The 20,047-nt window shown below is 44.3% G+C and overlaps 1 protein-coding gene and 1 pseudogene across 4 annotated transcripts in view, besides 1 other annotated feature; one reads left to right on the top strand and one right to left on the bottom strand.

The window, feature by feature from the left end:
- SMOC1 (SPARC related modular calcium binding 1) overlaps positions 1–17,703 on the bottom strand; it is a 152,951-nt gene extending 135,248 nt beyond the window's left edge. For all 4 annotated transcript variants that reach the window (NM_001425244.1, NM_001425245.1, NM_001034852.3 and 1 more), the window contains exon 1: positions 17,342–17,703. In NM_001425244.1, the coding sequence (NP_001412173.1) occupies positions 17,342–17,440 (99 nt within the window). In that variant the 5' untranslated portion in view covers positions 17,441–17,703. The remainder of the gene's footprint in view (positions 1–17,341) is intronic.
- RPL7AP6 (ribosomal protein L7a pseudogene 6) lies at positions 10,957–11,837 on the top strand (annotated as a pseudogene).
- Positions 17,516–17,605: a silencer, noted in NCBI's record as "silent region_5883". NCBI's record gives its function as "represses an Ori minimal core promoter by ATAC-STARR-seq in GM12878 lymphoblastoid cells {active_cell/tissue: GM12878}" and the evidence as "EXISTENCE:reporter gene assay evidence [ECO:0000049][PMID:35858748]".

Genomic DNA, 20,047 nt, shown 5'->3' with positions numbered 1-20,047 from the left:
CCCTCCAGTTCCATGGAATGTTCCTGGATCACATCTGGGAACATATCGAACAGTCACTAGCCTGACCCCTGATCCCAGAAATCATGAGGAGGGCACATCAATCAGCAGGACCTTCCACTTACCTCCTAATGGCAAAACTGTTTCTCACAGTCTCACAGACTTCCTATGATTCCTCACCGTCTTAGAGAAATATGGAGAAGGTGATCAGGACTACTCAAGCTTCCTTTAGATGCTGAAGTCAGGAAAACAGCCTACCATGCCAGGAAAAGGGAAAAACGAAAAGAGACTTCAAGAAAGACAGAGCGTCCAGTTGCCTGGAAGAGAAGCCATAGCCACACGGCACATGGAGGAAGACCATGCCAAGGAACATCCTCCCTCCACTGACTTCCATTTAAAAGGATCCTCCTGACCTATATCAGATTGGGAAAGTGAAGGAATTTGATTTATTGCACACAAAAAATGAGCTTTATTTATAAACAAAAGGGAATAAAACCACAGATTATAAATTTTCAATGTATTGATGGTATTCTTTTAGCTTTAGTTCCAAGGGGGAAATCTAATTTTGGGTTCTTACAGGGATCTCTCATATTTTCTTGTTACAGCTATTATTTTTATGAATAGTTAACATTTATTGAGCTTCCTACCATTACTTCATTTAAGCTCAATTACCCAGTGAGTTAAATAATATCTTTCTTTTCTTGAAGAGGAAGCTGAAGCATGGAGCTTAGTTCATTTGCCCGAGAACACACAGCTAGAAAGTGGCAGAGCTAGAAAGTGGCTTTTCTGAGAAAGATACCTAATCTCAGGTCTCTTTGACCCCAAGCCACTATGCTACACTGCCCTCTAGGTAGGCAAGAAAGCAGGCAGCTAGTCAAATGGTATTAGCTCAGACTTCTATCCTCCAGCATTGAGATGGGAGGTGAATTTCATTCACAAAGTAGATGCGGCTTTAAGAAAAGAAAGGTACACACTGGGGACCAAGTACACTGGATCACACCTGTAATTCCAGCCCTTTGGGAGGGTGAAGTAGGAAGACTGCTTGAGCCCAAGAGTTCAAGATCAGCCTAGACAATATAGCAAGACTGTGTCTCTTCAAAAATTTAAAAATTAGCCAGGTGTGGAGGCACATCTTAGTTCAAGCTACTCAGGAGGCTAAGGCATTAGGATCATATGAGCCCCAAGAGTTCAGTTGCACCCCTGCACTCTAGCCTAGGTGACAGAACAAGACCCTGTCTCAAAAAAAAAAAAAAAGAAAAAAAGAGAAGGAAGGAAAAAAAAAGGTACAAACTGGGAATCAGCAATATTGGGACCAAGGCTGTGAGCCCAGTCTTTTCCTAAGGCTCTACCTTGATGGGGGGAAAGAAAGTACAATGCCATACCACCAGGAAAAGTTACATGGTCCTCAAAGCCAGGGAGAAGACAAGAAGTATGGAATGATGCATCCTGATCTCTGTTCATTTCAGCTGTCAATCTTCCCGAAGGTTTTCCGAAGTCACTGGCAGAGATGCAGGGAGAAAGTATCCAAAGAAGGAGGACCCTGGTCACTTTCAGACCCTCCTCAACAAAAACAAAGGGTTTCTACTTCTACTCTCAAGATGGGTATTGATTTTAAAACCCACCTAGGAAACTATCATGTCGACCTTCAGATCAAACATGCTCTCACTGCTGCAGAGCATTTGCCATTCAGTTGGGTGGATGTTTACATTGATCTCATTGCTATTAACCAGCATCAAGAGTCCTACACCAAGATCTACCTTTACTTCTTCAAACAGAATCGCTGGCTACTTGTTCTATCAGCTCTACTTCACATTTCCTAACTGAAACCTTCGACACTGGCGGAAACCAGAAACTCACCCCTTTTCAGGAAATGAGAATGCTATGAAATGCATGCATAGTCAGGTGGCAAGGACGGGGAAGATTCCACATGTTCTGAGGTTTTGGTCACCTTTCCCAACCACTGGAAATTGGTGAATTGGCCAAAGCCAACTTAGAAACACAATCCTCTACAAAAATTCAAGCTATTTCCTCCCCATAGCTGGAATTGTGCCACTTTTCCAAGTGTTCCAGGGCATCTTTGAAAGGAAAAGGCATGCACAGAGCAATAAAGGGACATATCTAGAAGCTGGCTCTGGCTCTGCCACTAGCTGGCCAAGTGCACTGGGGATAGTCCTTAAACATCTGTAAAATGTAGGTATCTATGGGAATCTTTCAACTGCGGGCCTATTATCCTTATTTTGGGCTTTCTGGAATCATCTTCACATGGCCTATCTATTCTATTCTGAAATTTTCCAAACTCTTTCTATATTTCCTTTTTCCTGTCAGCTCCAACTCTTGGAACATCTGCACTGGGAGGACCCTGGAAAATCATTTAATCCCCTTAATAGATGAAGCAACTGGTCATGCAGTAAGAGGGAAGCCCCCTCTCCGGGCTCTGACCATCCACGTCCATCACCCTTCTCACCACACAGCCCACCCCACCATTCCACTTGTCTCCAAATGTCACAGATCCCAACACAAATCCTGTGGTTGTTGCTCCAGCATCCCTTCCACTCTCTTACCTTGTCCAGTAGCCATGTGGTCAGGAGAAGCTAACAGGATTAACCTGACCCCTTGTCCCAGAAATGGGTAACCCTATCTCCCACCGCTGCCACAGTGATTGGTCTAAGAAACCTGGGCCCAAGTCGAGCATGGCATTCTCCTGGCCAAAGGGATTGGTTAAAAGAATGGCTAAGTTTCCTGAGACCATCTAGGAATGAAGACTCTCCACCTTCTGAGAGAGCTACTGAAAGCTAATTCTCTTTTCCCTCTTCTAGAAAGGATGATGTTTAGATAGGAAGGATGGAACCATTACAGCCATTTGCCCCCATGACAAAAGCTGGACTTGGGATAAAACATGCACCACACAAGGCAGAGGGAAGCTACATAAAGACACTGTATATTTGATGATGCTACTGAGCCACTGAATCAAACCACCTCTAAAAGTCACTGTATTAGTTTGCTAGGGCTGCCATAACAAAATACCACAGACTGAGTAGCTTAAATCACAGAAATTTATTTTCTCACAATTCTGAAGCTGGAAGTTCAAGATCAAGATGCTGGCAGGGTTGGTCTCCTCTCTGGCTTCTCTCCTTAGCTTGAAGATGGCTACCCTCTTGCTGCCTTATCACATGGCAATCATGTCCCTAGTTTTTCTCTGTGTTCTAATCTCTTCTTCTTATTCGGGCACCAGTCAGACTGGATTAAGGGCCCACCGTAACAGACTCATTTTAACTTAATTGTTTCATCAAGGCCCTATCTCCAAATACAATCACATTCTGGGTCCTAGGGGTTGAGACTTCACATGAATTTGAAGGAGATAGAATTCAGCCCATGGCACCTGTCTTACCTCTGTACTTTCTGCTACTTGAGCCAATGAATCTCCTTCACTGTATAAGCCAGTTCAAAATGCATTATCTGTTTCTTGTAACATAAATATCCAACTGATATAAATATACCAAAGATCACACAAAAAGCAAATCTATAGTTACATCCAAAAAACCTCCCAATTAGCAGTAAAAAGTAAAACCAGCTCCTTTATGCTCTTACCACTTCAACCAGAAACCAAGGTGGTTCCCCTCCCAAGGCCACCAACCAAGAACTCAGGGCATAGTTTCCCCCTCAGAGCTTTGCAATCGCATGCAGCCTCCCCACTGACAGAGCCTTGAGAAGGGAACTTTAGCACTAAACCCCCTTCTCTATCCCTCCATGGCAACACCAGAGACAAGGAAAATAATGGCAATGCCTCCCGAAAGTTAGAATCTCTTTTCAGTAGAGCCTGTTACTTGTTTAAAAATCAGTGAATTAACAGGTCTAGCAATGATCATCAATGGGTGCTAACATCACAGATGTTGTATGTCTCCTGAAAGAAGCACACACCAACTCCCATGAAATATACTTAAAAATATATATATCAAACCTACACCTGATCAAACCTATTGATTTAACTATCATTTTACGAGAAATATAAAGGATAGAGAAACATGTTACAAAATGCAAAAGAAATGCAGGCAGCAAAATCTAGTGCGGAAACTCCAGAAGACCTGTTTACTCAACAAATAAATTACAAAGTGAAAAAGAGGTAGAGGAGAAACTCATAGATTAAAAGAGACTTAGGAGACAAATCAACCAATTGCAATATGTGGACCTTATTTGGACCTTGATTCGAAGAAACAGAATAGCATATTTAAGGGATCATCAAGGAAATTTGAATGTTGATTATTTGATTGTATTATATTACAGAATTATTGCTAATATTTTTTGGTTGTGGTATGGTATCATGGTTAGGATTTTTAATGAATCCTAAACTTTTACAGATATATATGAAAATGTACAGATGATAAGACACAATATCAGATTTGCTTCAGAATAATCTGAGCAGGGGAATAGGGAGATGTTTGCTTCAAAATAATCTGAGCAAGGGAATAGGGAGACTGGTAGAAGAAACAAGATTGGCCATGAGTGGTTCATGGTCGAATGTGGGTAAGGGGTCCATGGCAATCCATTGTACTAGTCTCTCCTTTTGTGTATATTTGGAAGTTTTCATAACAACAAAAAAAAATTTAATGACTAGATAGGACCCAAAGATGGACAGTCTAAGTCCTTTGCCAAGTTCTAGTGTCATTTCCGATACAGCTTGCTTACCAACACGTTTTAAATAAATTTCCCCAATTACCTTCACAGAATCTTCCAGTTGGCATATCTTCTTTCCAAATGTTACTGGAATTTCTGAAGCATGGAACAAGTATGCTCTCCAAAGGATTACATTTAGAAGTTCCATTCAGAACATACTAGAGAAACTTACAGCAAACATTAATCGGTGACCAGTGTGTCATGCATTTGTTGCTGCTTGTGCAACCCAAGTCTCTAGAAATTTATTCACCCTAATTTCTATAATCTTAGTAGAAGGCCTTTCTCAGCCTGACACCAAAGACAGAAACCATAACAATAGATTAGCCACATAAACATGTAAAAGTTCAGTGGATTGAAACCCTCGTCCTTTCATATAACATACTGAGACAGGCATTTGCCAGACTTGACAGAAAAACAGATTAATATCTTCAGTATTTTTTTTAAAAACTTACCATCCCTATTTTTTAAATTAGCCAAAACCCTGGGCAGGTAATTTACAAAAGAAAGGAACTAATTTAGGATTGGCAGATACAATAAAAGATACTCAGTTCAATTTCAATTTCAGATAAACAATGAATAATTTTTATGCGGGTCATACTTATGCTAAAACATAATTTGTCGTTTATCTGAAATTCCAATTTACCTGGGCATTCTGTATTTTTATTTTCCGACTTTGGAAATCTTAAACCGACGGTGAATAACTTGGAGAAGATGAAGAAGAACCTCATTCATGATCATCCAGGGAGGGCAAGGATGACAGGCAAGCAGAGGCCTGGGGAGGGCAGAGACGAGCACTAACGCTGGCAGGCACAGGCCGGGAGAAGGCAGCAGCAGCCCCTCCTGGCCCTGAGGAGGGTAGGAGGGAGACGCCAGCAGATGCAGTTCAGGGGGTAGGGAGGGAAGAGGGATTGCAACTTCGGTTAAACACCCCTGAGCCTGTCCTTCAGATGAAAGGAAAGTCATGCTCAGCTTCATGCAGCTGAGAACCCCTTCCAGAAGCATCACTTTTAATATTTGTTCTTAAACCCTGTTTGTGCTCTATGTAAATGTATTTTAATATCTTATGAAAAATGTATAATGTATTCCTTAATATATACAAAAAGGAATTTAAGAATATATGTATTCACCACCCAATTTAAAGACAAACAATATTACCATTCAATCCAAGCCTTCTATGTGTCCCCTGACATATTCCAGTTTGCCCTACTTAACAATTAACCTGAGCTCCACACAGCATTCATCACTGCTCTTAATTTTATTTTACATTTTTTACATCTAAACAATATAGCTTTTGCATGCTTTCAACCTTTATGTAAAAAATAGCATTATGTATTATTCTGCAATTTGCCTTTTTCATGCAACATTGGTGAAATTCATCTGCAATAATGAGTACAGCTTTAGATTAGTCATTTTCAGTACTGTGTAATAGTTCATTATTTGTATATACTTTAATTTATTTTTCTATTCTTCTGTTGGTGGTCATTTGGCTAATTTCCCATGTTTTACCACCACCAGAAAATGCTGCTATGAACAGTCTCGAACTTATCTCTCCATATACATTAGAATTTCTCCAGGGTATGTACCAGAGCAGAATTACAAGGTCAAAGAGTGTGTACAACTTCAACTGTAATTGTACAAAGTTATACTAATTTATATTCCCACCAGCAGCAATAAATATATTTTTTACAGTTATGTCCTGCTGAGGTTAATTGAAAACTCTCCTTTAAAGCAGTCTGAGCTCAAAGTATGCTGAAAATGAGCAGTCCTGGCACTAATAGTTACTAGCCCTAAAAGTTAGCCCAACGTGAATACAGGCCAATTGTGTCAGATGTAGACTGAATGCCAGGGTGACTCAGGAATCAGGATGGGCTGAGGCAGGTTTAGGGGGCATTTTTCAATCATGCATGTTTTAATCTTTATTATTTTGCTCTAAGATTAAAAGATGCTCATTGTAAACGAAATTGTGTTAATAGTTACCAAAATGCATCTCTTGGAAATTGAACATCCCCATGATCACCACCACCAACAGCATGACATACAATCTACCTAATTTTTTAACACATAAACCATCTTTCTTTTTTGCCTAAATGGGATCATCTATTCCCTTTTTTGCATATTACTTTTTACTATCCAATATATCTTTATAAGGAAAGACATATCTACCTTTATTGAAAATTCTATTATTCAATAAACATTTATTAAGCACCTGCTTTCGGGCAGGATGGAGTCTATAAAGAAAATTAAGCGACTTCATCATTAAGAGGCTCCTACCCTAAAGGAAAGAAACTAACAGATGCTGGTCATAATGATGGCTTCAATTGTAAAGCACTTTCTATGAGCCAGGCACTGTACCAGGCCCTTAATGAATGTGGTAGGCAGAATCACGCTCCCCACAAAGATGTCCATGTGCTAATCCTAATAATGCTATGTTACAGGGCAAGGAGGTTTGTTCTAATCAGCTAAACTTAAAATAAGGAGATTAGTTTGAATTATCTGGGTGGGCCCAGTGTAATCACAAGAGTCCTTAAACTGCAAAGAGGGACACAGAAAATTCAGAACCAGAGAGACCCTGGCAGCATGAGGAAAGATTTGGCCAATGATTGCTAGCTTTAAAGGTGGAAGGGGCCACAAGCCGAGGAATGCAGGCAGATTCTAGAGGCTGGAAAAGGCAAGAAAATAGATTCTCTCCTAGAGCTCCAGAAAGGAACTCAGTCCTGCTGATTTTTTTAGCCCATTAAGAGCCATGTCAGACTTCTGATCTGTAGAAATTTGTGTTGTTTAAGTCACTAAGTTTGTGTTCATTTGTCATGGCAGCAATAGAAAGCTAATACAAGGCACATCATCCATTTTCCCCACCACCCTGGAAAAGAGGTGCTGTGACCTCCATTGGACAAATCAGGGAACAGAGGACCTAAGAGGCCAGATTACTAGCCCGGGTGCCCAACAGCAGAGCCAGACTCACACTTAAGTCTGTCTGCCTCTGAGCCTATGCTGAGGCTGCTCCTGGTTGGCTGGGATACAGGGAAGATGGTGACACATGCCATCATAGGGGTAAGCAAATGATTCTTTGCTTAAAGGAAGCTGAGAGAATTCTTCCTGGGACCAATCTAGAAGGACTGCGTGGAGGTAACATCTGAACCTTTTGAATGATGGGCAGGATTCTGACAGACAGAAATGGGGAAGGAAGGAGAGATCAGGAAGTACAGTGGTTCAGCCCTGCTGAGGTCTAGGGCACATGGGGGTATCCAGCAGAAGGTAAGGTTGGACACACTGGTCAGAGTCCAGCACTGTCCAATATGATAGCCACCAACCACATGTGGCTATTAACATTCATATTTACATTAATTTAATTTAATTTAAAATTCAGGTCCTCAGTGTACTAACCACATTTCAAATATTCAATAGCCACATGTGGCTAATATTGGACAGTGCAGTTATAAAACATGTCCATCCTTGTGGAAAGTTCTGTGGATGAAGAGAAGTCACTGGCATCATCGTTTTTAAGCAGGTCACTGGCACTTTGGAAGGAGGAAGTGAAGGAGTAATACACGTCCTTTTATAACACTCCCTATCTCACTCTTTTATTTGTTATCTACAATGTGTCCTCTCCCCAGGGGTTTGGCAGAAGTTTCAAGAATAAATGCATAATGAACATCCATAAAAATTATTTAAAACTCCCAGCACTGCCTTAGAATGCATATCTAGTTCTAAAAATAAACCACTCTGGGAAGCAGGTCCAATTTTTCTCCACTGTCAATACTTTAAAAGAAAAAAAAAAGGCTTTCAGCCCTTATCTTATAGAATCCAATCAACACCGTAGTGTAAAATAGATTTTAAGGAGGCGAGGCGTAGTTGTTCAAACCTCTAGATAATTTGTCAGGTTTCAAAACACATTATGCCTGACCTCATGGAACTTTGCTCAGTCCCAGTGCTCCCTGGTGGTGGGAAAGGCTCTACTGAGATGAGAGCTACCTTTCCTGTCTTAGAGAGGCTGCCCCATTCTGACTCAAAAAAAGGATGCTGAAATCAACCAAGGTGACGTCCAGGAAGTATGCAGAGCTCCATACCTAACAAGCTTAGATGTGGCCAAAGGTAAGATTATTTTGTGATCTAGCAACTGAATTCCGAATGATGTTGGATGCAAAAGAAAACCCTATAGTCACCTATGTTGCTTTGGGGTCTTCATGGGGACAGTTGGAAGTGATTCATGGCAATCCAATCTCTGAACCTCTCAGTGACTCATGACCCATGCAGAGCACATACTGTACAAATCTAACCCTGTTTGGCGGCCTCACAAGCAGCTCCGATTTATTTCTCATCCGCAACTCAACCTTTGTCCTCCCCAAACATGGAAGGAGGGGGCCCTCCACACTGACATCCTCTACCACTAGCAGCAATACCAGGACTTGGCTGCCTAAACAATAAATCTCTATGTGGCCCAGAGAGAAAGGGTGCCCTGTACCTGCTAAGCAGGACCATGCATCCCACCCCCAGCTCCTGCAAAAGGCGGTGAGGGGAGGTTGGAATAAAGACAGGCATCAAACTAGAAACAGGCCTTCCCCTAGTCCAGACACTACCTCCACCCACAGGCCCCACTGGCAAATAAAGTTTCTGACCCATGCATCAGCTCATGAACACTTCCACTCTGCAGGGTGAATCACCCTGAGCAAGGAAAAGGGAAGACTGCCCACTGCCAGCTTAGCTTTACAAATGAGCCCTTAGGCCACCTGATGCAGACGTTTATGCCAGGGCCTGGGTCTGCTCTGGGTCTAGAAGCCAAAATCACTCCCCAGTGGGGTTATTTTAGATAGAGCCACATGCACATCTTGAAAGGTGGGGAGGAAGCAGAAGGTGGCAAGAAAGGAGTCCCTTACTCTGGGACTTTTTGTTTGACCTCACATGCAAAGAATTGAATTAATTTTAATCTTTGGCTCATGATACACTCAGCATTGGTTTATGCAGGGCTCACTTTTTTATCAGCTATTAGATCTTGAATAATGGACAAATGCCTTTAGCCCATCCTCCCTCTCCCCCAAAAAGGTAGAGTATCAACACCAACCCACACCAACCATATGGTTTTACCCATCCTATCCCCCTGCCTCACCCTAACTTCACCCTGAATCTGTATCCATCATTACTTTACTATGCTTTTCATAGCATTTTGTTGTAGCTGTATGTAGTCCTAAAAACTTTTTTTTAATTTTAGTTATTTATAAGTTACTGTATCTTTTGGTAATTTTCTTTCACTTAATATCATATTGCCAAGATTTATCCATATTTTTGCATGTCACTGTTGTTCACTTGTTTTGGCTGAGTATAATTTTACACTGTGAATTCATCACAGTTTACTCATCTGCCCTCCCACTGATGAGCATCTGGGCTCTTTCCAGGCATGTGATATTATAAACATAGTTGCACAGGACATGAGTTTCTCCTGGGCACATAGAGCCGGAGTGGAATTGCTGGGCCATAAGAAATGTGAATACTCAACTTCAGAAGATAATTAGATCATATCAATTCTTTTCTATTTTGATTGCATTTCCTAGAGATTCTAAGATGATTGTTTCCTCTTCCTGTCCTTTTGTTTCTATAAATTTCACATGTCAGCTCTACCAAAATGTTTAAATCTGGTCCTTGGCCTAACACTTCAGTAGCACTTCAGCTAAATCCCCCCATATGGAAAAGAAGGATTCTTGTCAGGGGCACAGATAATAGGAAAAGCATCTAAGCAGACACAAGGACCCACCCTGGACCAGATGCTGGGATGGGCTAGTCAAATGGAAGGAAACAGTTTAGAAGCTGTTTCACTCTTGGCAAATGCAAGATACAAAAAAGGACTGGGGAGGAGCTATAAAGCCAGTTTCCCTATTCAAATTCGCATGTTGAGTCTCTCTTCCCCCAGCCTTCCTGTAACTACCAAACACACTTATTTTTAAACAAAGAACAAAAACTCAAAAATGGAAAAGCCAGTTTGTAAGTAACCAATTTCAGATTTAAACAACAGCAGGGGTTCAGGTTGGACATCATTATGCAGTCCACTTCATTTCAATATATATTTACAGAATGCTTTACAATGTGACAAGCACCCTGATGAATGAGGTCTCTATTCTGTCCTCAAGGGGCTTGCAGATTTGTTCATTTAACAAAACAGATCATGCATGAAATGCTAAAGGGCCAACTTGGTGCAAAGAAGAGGAAGATGCTGGCCTGATATTAAGATGCTCACTGCAGGAGGATTAATACAAGTTAGAATACAAGTGGACCAGATATAGAAGTTGTTCAAAGGAGCTCTCTCCTCCCGCTGCCCAAGATGCCGAAAGGAAAGAAGGCCAAGGGAAAGAAGGTGGCTCCGGCCCCAGCTGTCGTGAAGAAGCAGGAGGCTAAGAAAGTGGTGAATCCCCTGTTTGAGAAAAGGCCTAAGAATTTTGGCATTGGACAGGACATCCAGCCCAAAAGAGACCTCACCCGCTTTGTGAAATGGCCCCGCTATATCAGGTTGCAGCGGCAGAGAGCCATCCTCTATAAGCGGCTGAAAGTGCCTCCTGCGATTAACCAGTTCACCCAGGCCCTGGACCGCCAAACAGCTACTCAGCTGCTTAAGCTGGCCCACAAGTACAGGCCAGAGACAAAGCAAGAGAAGAAGCAGAGACTGTTGGCCCGGGCCGAGAAGAAAGCTGCTGGCAAAGGGGACGTCCCGAAGAAGAGACCACCTGTCCTTCGAGCAGGAGTTAACACTGTCACCACCTTGGTGGAGAACAAGAAAGCTCAGCTGGTGGTGATTTCACACGACATGGATCCCATCGAGCTGGTTGTCTTCTTGCCTGCCCTATGTCGTAAAATGGGGGTCCCTTACTGCATTATCAAGGGGAAGGCAAGACTGGGACGTCTAGTCCACAGGAAGACCTGCACCACTGTCGCCTTCACACAGGTGAACTCAGAAGACAAAGGCGCTTTGGCTAAGCTGGTGGAAGCTATCAGGACCAATTACAATGACAGATACGATGAGATCCGCCGTCACTGGGGTGGCAATGTCCTGGGTCCTAAGTCTGTGGCTCGTATCGCCAAGCGCAAAAAGGCAAAGGCTAAAGAACTTGCCACTAAACTGGGTTAAATGTACACTGTTGAGTTTTCTGTACATAAAAATAATTAAAATAATACAAATTTTCCTTAAAAAAAAAAAAAAAGAAGTTGTTCGAAGGAGAGAGTAATCGTTCCTAAGCAAAAAGAATGCTCTGTAGAAAAGTTCCTAGAGAGTAATGTTGGAACTGGGTTTTGAAGGATGAATCAAGTGATCAAGAGGTGAGAGAAGAAATAACAAATATCTAAAACATTTAAGAAATAAGTTTCAGGTTGAAGAATACACAAATGAATGGAAAGAGATGTCACGTTCATGAATTGGAAGAGCAAATGTTGTGAAAATGTCTATACTTCCCAAAGCAATCTACAGATTCAGTGCAATCCCTATAAAAATACTAAGATGTTCTTCATAGAAATAGAAAAAAAAACCCTAAAATTTTTGTAGAACCACAAAAGACCCTGAATAGCCAAAGCAAAGTAAAAAGTAACAAGAACAAAGCCAGAGGCATCACACTATATGACTTCAAAATAAACTACAAAGCTATAGAACCAAGACAGCATGGTAATGGCATAAAAACAGACACATAGACCAATGGAACAGAAGACAGAGCCCAAAAATAAATCCACGCATTTACAGACAACTGATTTCAACAAAGGTACCAAGAACACACAATGGGGAAAGGAAAATCTTCAATAAATGGTGTTAGGAAAACTGGATATCCACATGCAGAAGAATGAAATTAGACCCTCATCTCTCACCATATACAAAAATTGACTCAAATGAATTAAAGACTTAAATGTAAGATCCAAAACTATGACACTATTAAAAGAAAACATAGGGGGAAAGCTCCATGACTTTGGTTTGGGGACCTCAAAAGCACAAGCAACAAAAGCAAAAATAGACAAATGAAATTATACCAAACTAAAAAGCTTCTACACACCAAGGAAAACAATTAACCAAGTAAAGAGATAACCTAGAGAATGGGAGAACATATTCACAAACTGTATATCTGATAAGGAGTTAATATGCAAAGTACACAGAGAACTCAAATCACTTAATAGCAAAAAAAACAAAAAACAATGCAATGAAAAAATGGGCAAAAGATCTGAATAGGTATTTCTCAAAAGAAGACATAGAAATGGGCAATAGGTATATTTAAAAATGCTCGGCCGGGCGCGGTGGCTCACGCCTGTAGTCCCAACACTTTGGGAGGCCGAGGCGGGTGGATCATGAGGTCGGGAGATCGAGACCATCCTGGCTAACAAGGTGAAACCCCGTCTCTACTAAAAATACAAAAAATTAGCCGGGCGCGGTGGCGGGCGCCTGTAGTCCCAGCTACTCGGGAGGCTGAGGCAGGAGAATGGCGTGAACCCGGGAAGCGGAGCTTGCAGTGAGCCAAGATTGCGCCACTGCAGTCCGCAGTCCGGCCTGGGCGACAGAGCGAGACTCCGTCTCAAAAAAAAAAAAAAAAAAAAAAAAAAAATGCTCAACATCACTAATCATCAGGGAAATGCATTCAAACCACAATGAGATACCACCTCACTCCAGTTAGAATGGCTATTATCAAAAAGACAAAAAACAACAAGTGCTGGTAAGGATATGGAGAAAAGGGAGTTCTCACATACTGTTGGTGGGAACATAAATTAGTACAGCCATCATGAGAAACAGTAAAAACATTCCTCAAAAAATTTAAAGCAGAACTAGCATATGATCCAGCAATCTCACTGCTGGACATTTATCCAAAGGAAATGAAATCAGTATGTTGAAGAAATACCTGTTCTCCCATGTTTATTGCAGCATTGTTCACAATAGCCAGGATATGAAATCAACCTAATTGTCTATCAGTGGATGAATGGATAGAGAAAATATGGTATATATACACAAGGAATACTATTCAGCCACAGAAAAGAATGAAGTCCTGTCATTTGCAACAATGTAGATGAACCTGGAGGACGTTAAGAAAAGTAAGCCAGCCACAGAAGGACAGATACTGCATAATCTCACTCATATGTGGAATCTAAAAAAATTGGTCTCATAGAAGTAGAAAGTAGAACAGTGGTTACCAGAGGCTGAGGAAGGAAGAGGGGAGAGGGAAAGGAGAGAGGTTGGTCAAAGGGTACATAATTATAGTTAGAGAGGAGTAATAAATTCAAGAGATCTATTCAAAGTGACTATAGTTAATGACAAGTTATTGTATCCTTGAAAAATGCAAAGAGTGGATGTTAAGTGCTCTCACCACAAAAATAATAATTATGCGAGGTAATGCTATCATTAATTAGCTAGATTTAACTATTTCATAATGTATATATACTTCAAAACATCATATTGTGCACAATAAATACATACAATGCTATCTGTCAAATTTAAAAAATAAAAATCCATTTCTGACTCAGACCTCTTGATCTTCGCATCATCTCCTATTTCTCACACTTCTTAAATCTAGTTCCTGCCTCCAGTCAAAGTGGAACCTGTAATCACTCTCAAACACACATTATCTGCATTTATTTGTTCATTCCATCAGTACCAACAAAGTAAATCTTGACAGGTGTCTGGCCCCTTGCTGAGCTCTGGAGATAAATCCCTGGACAAGACAGAAACAGTTCCTGCCTTCACCCAGCTTTCCATCTTCAAGGGAGACACAGAATTTAACAAAGACAGGCAGTTGGCTTGACCATCGGCCAGACACCATCAGCCAGGGAGAGCCCCTCCCCCATCCCATCCTCCCCTGAAACATTTTCAGTAAATTGTGCAGGATTAAAGAAACGGCTGCCTCCTCAGTGATTAAAAGAATCCTGACCAACGTCCCAGCTAGCCAAGCAACCACTCACAGTTGAGAGACCCCAAAATCAGGTGCTTCCTACATAATAGCCTCCAATCTGATACTCGATAGCCGCTGGTTTCCAGAGTCAAACAAATGTCAAGAATTTTATGAAGGAAGGCAGGAAGCAAATAAGGGGGCGAGGACTGGGGTCTAGGCCTCGGGGGAGCTCAATTAGTGAGCCAGATAAAGTTAAACTGAAAGGGCATGCTCTTGGTTTCCTAGAAAGCCAGCTGGAAAAGATGCCAATCCTTAAGCCTCTGTCACTCAAAAGATTAACAGAAGAGACTTAGGAGCGCCCACAGGGAATAATGCAACAAGCCAGATGTTTCTGCTCCTCGGATGACGCCGCTCTCAACAACCAGAGCTACACTTTTGAGGCCCCCAATAAGCCATAGAAAAGAACTGGAGTCTTTGGGGATAGGTTGAAATTCAGTCATTTGCCTTAAGTGATACAGACACCAAAAAAATATTAACAATTTCTCTGCAGACTCCCCTGATGTATCCGGGTTCTGTATTTCTCATCGAGCCATCTCTTTCTTTAACAGAAACAGCATCACTCGGATGAACACTCACTATAGCTGCCTGGTGGTGGGGAGAGCACACAACTTTTCAATCCATATAAACTGGAAGCTCAGGCAAGTCGATTGGCCACCCTGAGTCTCACTTTGTCATCTGTAAAATGGCTTTTAAAAGACCCAACTTCTTGTTCTCGTTCGAGTAAGAGATCATGTAAAGTGCCCAGCCCAGATGTTCATAAGTGGTAGCTCTTATTGTTATCTATAAACACAACCAGGTAACCACATGCTCGAGACAGCACCTTCTCCTTGGTACTTTCTAAACACACCAAGATGTGTGTGCACATGTGTGTGTGTGTTTGTGCATGTATGTATTTGAGTGAGAGAGAGAAAGAGGGAAAAAAAGAAAGAAGGAGAGAGAGAGTGTGAAGCAGCTTGGACATACACCAGCCTATTTACAATTCCTGCTTACGTTCCATCACTTCTATCAAATTAATAAACTAGAGGAGCTGGAAGGAACCTAACCACGGTGCCTGATTTCCCCTCAAGTCCCTAGCTTTCCCCTAAAGGTTGCTTCCTCTGATTCCAGGAGGCCAGGAAGGAGAGCCATATGGCTTGAGACTCTAGACAAGCCCAGCAGCAAACAAACGAGCCCCCCACCATTTGTCTCAGGGCCTCTCTCCTTTCGACCCTCCTGTGGGCGGCCATCCAGATTTCAGTCGGGGTGCTCTGGTCTGCATCTCTGTCTTGACTGTTCCTAATTATTGGAGGGAACGCATGGCTCGCCTGACCTCAGAGTTTAAGAGCTCTGAGTCCTAATATCAAACCAAGCAGCTTCATTTAAAAGGCATCCTCATCTGCATCCATAAAAGTCACTCCTGGAGCCCTTACTTGCCCCAGCTTTGGGAATGCCTGCTGTCGAGGATTTATGACACGCCCTGGATCTAATCTGCCACACTTTAACTGCTGCTGTTGCACATCTGGTCATAAAAGCAAGGGCTGGCCCAACACGGGGACAAACACTTTTCTTTCCTAAATGGCTGCAAATCTGATCTCACAGTGATACCTGGGCTTGGATGTAATCAACCCAGCATCTGGGCAGTCATTAAGACTTGTCAAGCATTGCAAGACTTTTTCTCCACACGACAGCTATAAAGATGATTCTCATATAGTAAAAGCTATGAATAAACAACCTGCAATCTGAACAGGTGGTAAAGGGCCAGGCCCAAGGATGTTCAAGAAAGAAAGCACGAGTTGGTTGAGCCAACCTTGTTTTCACAAAGATCCTAGCTACTTTCACATGGACTCTCAGGCTGCCAGTTAAGAGTCAATTGCCCTGACATAAACTGATGCTTGGCCAGAGATTGCCTGGATTAAGTTTGGTCAAAAGAACCACTAGGTCGTTTAATAGTACATGTTTCAAGGCAGTGAAATTCTTTATTAGACCAATTGGTGGGGGGTGTTGCGGGGATAATCTAGACCAGAAATGAACACAATACTGTCGGTTCCAGGAGATTTTACAATGCCCTGGACAATCTGTCCTGTGCACAGAATTGGCAGGTTTCATGTCGTTCAGAAACTCCAATCAGACCAAGGTTCAACGAGTAATTCAACCTCCCAGCACTGAACCCAGGGGGAGAGACCCCTGAACATTGCGCAACTCTCCCCTCCCACCTCTTTACAGTACCCCACCTCTGACCCTCTTCCAGTGCCTGCCCGGCAGGAGGTGACATTAAAATTATCTGCTGTGGGTTTTACGAGCAGTGATCGCTTTTTAAAACAACAACACAAGGTCCTTGTGTGGCTCGCGGGTAACCTAAAACTCTCCAGGCAGAGCTGCACCCGCCCCCGTCCCAACCCCCGCCGCCTGCCAACAACTCCAGCGCGCTGGACCGGGCGCCAGCGTGAGACCACAGGGAAGCCCTGCATGAGCGGAGAGCGAGCTTCTCTCCGACGCAGGAGGCACCTCTGAGGGTCTTGAGCAAAATGCAGGAGAGAAGAGATTGGGAAAGAAAACCCACCAGTGACAGTTCGGGGACAGGGGAGGGATGGTGGGTCAAGAAAGGGAGAGTGGTGGTGGCTCCAATGGGAGAAAAAAAATATTTCAGCAACTTCACCAAGCCCGCAGGGGACCTGGTAGTAGACAGAGGACAACAGGTCTCTGACATCTCTCTTCCCCCTCCTCCTTCCCTCAGGGATGAGGGGGGAAGCAACCTCCCCTCCCTCCGCAGGTGGGCGCAAAGCTGGGGGCGCACTTACCCTGGGGCCTGTGGTGCGGTGGCCGCGAGCAGGGGACAGCTGCACCAACACCAGCAGCAAGTGGGGCGTGAGCAGGCGGGCGCAGCGCGCGGGCAGCATGGTGCCAGCCAGGCTGGGCAGCCGGCAGCGAGCGGGGTTCGCGGGCTCCGCGGGGCGCACAGCGCGCCTCCCTTCCTTCCTTCGCTCGGGGCCCTCGCGGCGGCGGGGAGCGGGCCGTGGTCCTGCGGCGGGGGCTCGCAGAGGCTGCGGTCAGGGGACACAGTCATGAACCGCGCAGGAGGGGAGCTGGAGCGCGAGCGTGTGCTCTGCGCGCGGCGCTAGCTCCGCTCGGCGGGGCCCAGGCGGCAGCAGGTTGGACGCCTGAGCCCGGGCCATGGGAATTCCCGTTATAAACCCCCGGGAGGGGCGGGGCGGAGCACGGCGGGCCTGATTGACGGGCCAAGAGGCCTGTTGAAGCCGACCCTCTGGCAGGTGAAAGCCAATGGGAGAGGGGCAAGAGGAGCCACTCGTGGTCAACCCCCCGCCGAGGAGCTCCGCGGGAGTAGGCCCCGGGAGAGAGTGGGATAAAGAGTAACTTTCTCCCGGCACTCCTGCCCGAGGAAGCCTGAGAGAGCCCCAGCAGCCGGCACCCACCAGAAGGCTCACCTGGCTAATAATAATGCCTTAAGCATGTATATTTCTTAGCTCAAGCTCGTGATTGTCCCAACATCCTGGTGAAGTAGGCAGGGAAAATACTCCTAGCCCCATTTATCAGATGAGAATGCTGTGACACGAAGGCGCCGAGAGATCTGCCTCCCTGCTGCATCTGGGAAGAGTAACTGGGAAGTCGCTGGATGACCCGCACAGGGTGGGCTGTGGCGTTGGAGTGGGGAATGGGAGCATCCACTTCTTTCAAAGACTCTCCCTGGGAGGTGACATCCTGAGTCTCACAGCGGCTGCCCCGGGAGAAGTCGCAAGGGACAAGGTGAAGCGTGTGCTGGGCATTGGCCGCTGGGGAGGGCCTCTTGGGTACGGTAACCCCCTACACACACACACACACACACACACACACACACACACACACACACACACACACACATCTCCCAGCCCTATGGTCCGTATGATCCAGGATTGGAACTCAGGCATCCTAGCTTCCCCCTCTGAACTGGAGGGCAAGGGGCAGCCTCTCTATAGCCCAGCAGCTCTGGAAGAGGCGGGCAGAGAGGCCCTGGTCCCCTGATGGGAGACAAGGAGGAAAAGTATAGATGAGGAGGCGGCAGTCTGAGGATGCAGAGATCCCAGAGATGGGGTAGAACAAGGAGAGGAGATCTCTCCCGGGTGCCCGACCCTCTTGGAGAGGACAGCTCAGCGGAGCTTCAGTCAGATGTTGGGGGGCTCTGCCCAGGGCCATCCCCGGAAGGCCATCTTGGGAATGGTCACAGCTGCATCACACCGGCTCCTCAACAGAGCAAGGTGCTCAGCTGCCTTCAGTGAGACTGACATCTCCAGGAAATCACAGGGAAGGGGGCGGGGGGGCGCAAAATGAAACCCAGAGCGATCTCCTTATGTGGAGAACAACCTTTAGTGCTTACTTCCATCAGTATGGGCTACTTCGCAGGGAGGGATTCTTTTCTATAATTTGATTGTAAGCATCAGTGCCACACTCCCCCTCCCTATCTGGTCTGAGAGGTCCTAAGATTAGCTCTGCTCCCTCAGGGCTTCTCTCCTGGATTCCATGAAACAGCTTCGCACCTGACTCCTGAATTCAGTTTTGCCCTCTCTCCACACTGGCCCCATCCAACCTCCACACGGCAGCCAGTGTGTCTATTCGCTATTTAGAAGCCAGTGATCCTTTTAAGCAGCAAACCGGAACTCACCATTCCCTGCTTAAACGACTTCCCCTCTCCCCATTGCCCTCTGACAAGAAAGCTCAGACTGGATGCTGGAACAATAACAAAGTACTTGTGGTTCTCCAAACAAAAATGAAGCGCACTTCTAAAAGAATGGTCTATCTTTTCCTCCACTGGGAATGAGTGCTTTGGTCAGACAGACTCTGGAGCTGTACAGCAGGGTTCAAATCCTGAGTCTGCCACCTAGTGGTATAAGCTTGAAGAAGTCACTTGACTCATCCAGGGTCCCGTTTTTCTCTCTGTAAAATGGGGATAAAAATAGTATCCCCTGCCATGAGATGTTGTCAAAAGTAAAGGAGATGGAGTCTTTAAAGCCCTTAAAATAATTAAGTGAAAAGTATCACAATATGGCATTTGAAGAGGACAGGACAAATGCCTCATCTCATTTTATCCTCAGAACAATCTTCTGAAATAGGTCAGACATTCCTACTTTACAGGTAGATAAGTGAATACTCCATGAGATTGTGACTTGCCTGGCCTCATTTGGCTGGCAAATGACAGAGCCGAGACGCCGAGACTCAAGGCAAGGTTTTTGGAGTCTAATTCTGCTTCCATCATGTGATGGCTGCAATCTCCAGTCTCAAATCCCATAGGGTTGGACGTTCCTCTGTGCTAATTGGGAATTTCTTCAGTGGCCTACAAGGTGAACTGAGACTGGTGAGCTCCACTGAGCTTCAGAGGAAAAGGATGTAAACATCAGGGGTCAGCCCTTCCTGGAAACAGCCCTTGTGACCTGGCATCCTGGAGTTTGCCCAGCTGGACTTGTGACACTTGTCCAGTACCGTGCCCTGTGCAGCACTGACATCAATATCCATGT

The sequence above is a fragment of the Homo sapiens genome, chromosome 14 (assembly GCF_000001405.40).
Source record: "Homo sapiens chromosome 14, GRCh38.p14 Primary Assembly".
Classification (NCBI taxonomy): Eukaryota; Metazoa; Chordata; class Mammalia; order Primates; family Hominidae; genus Homo; species Homo sapiens.
Note: the sequence above shows the minus strand (reverse complement) of the source record. Positions and strands in the feature narration are given on the sequence as shown.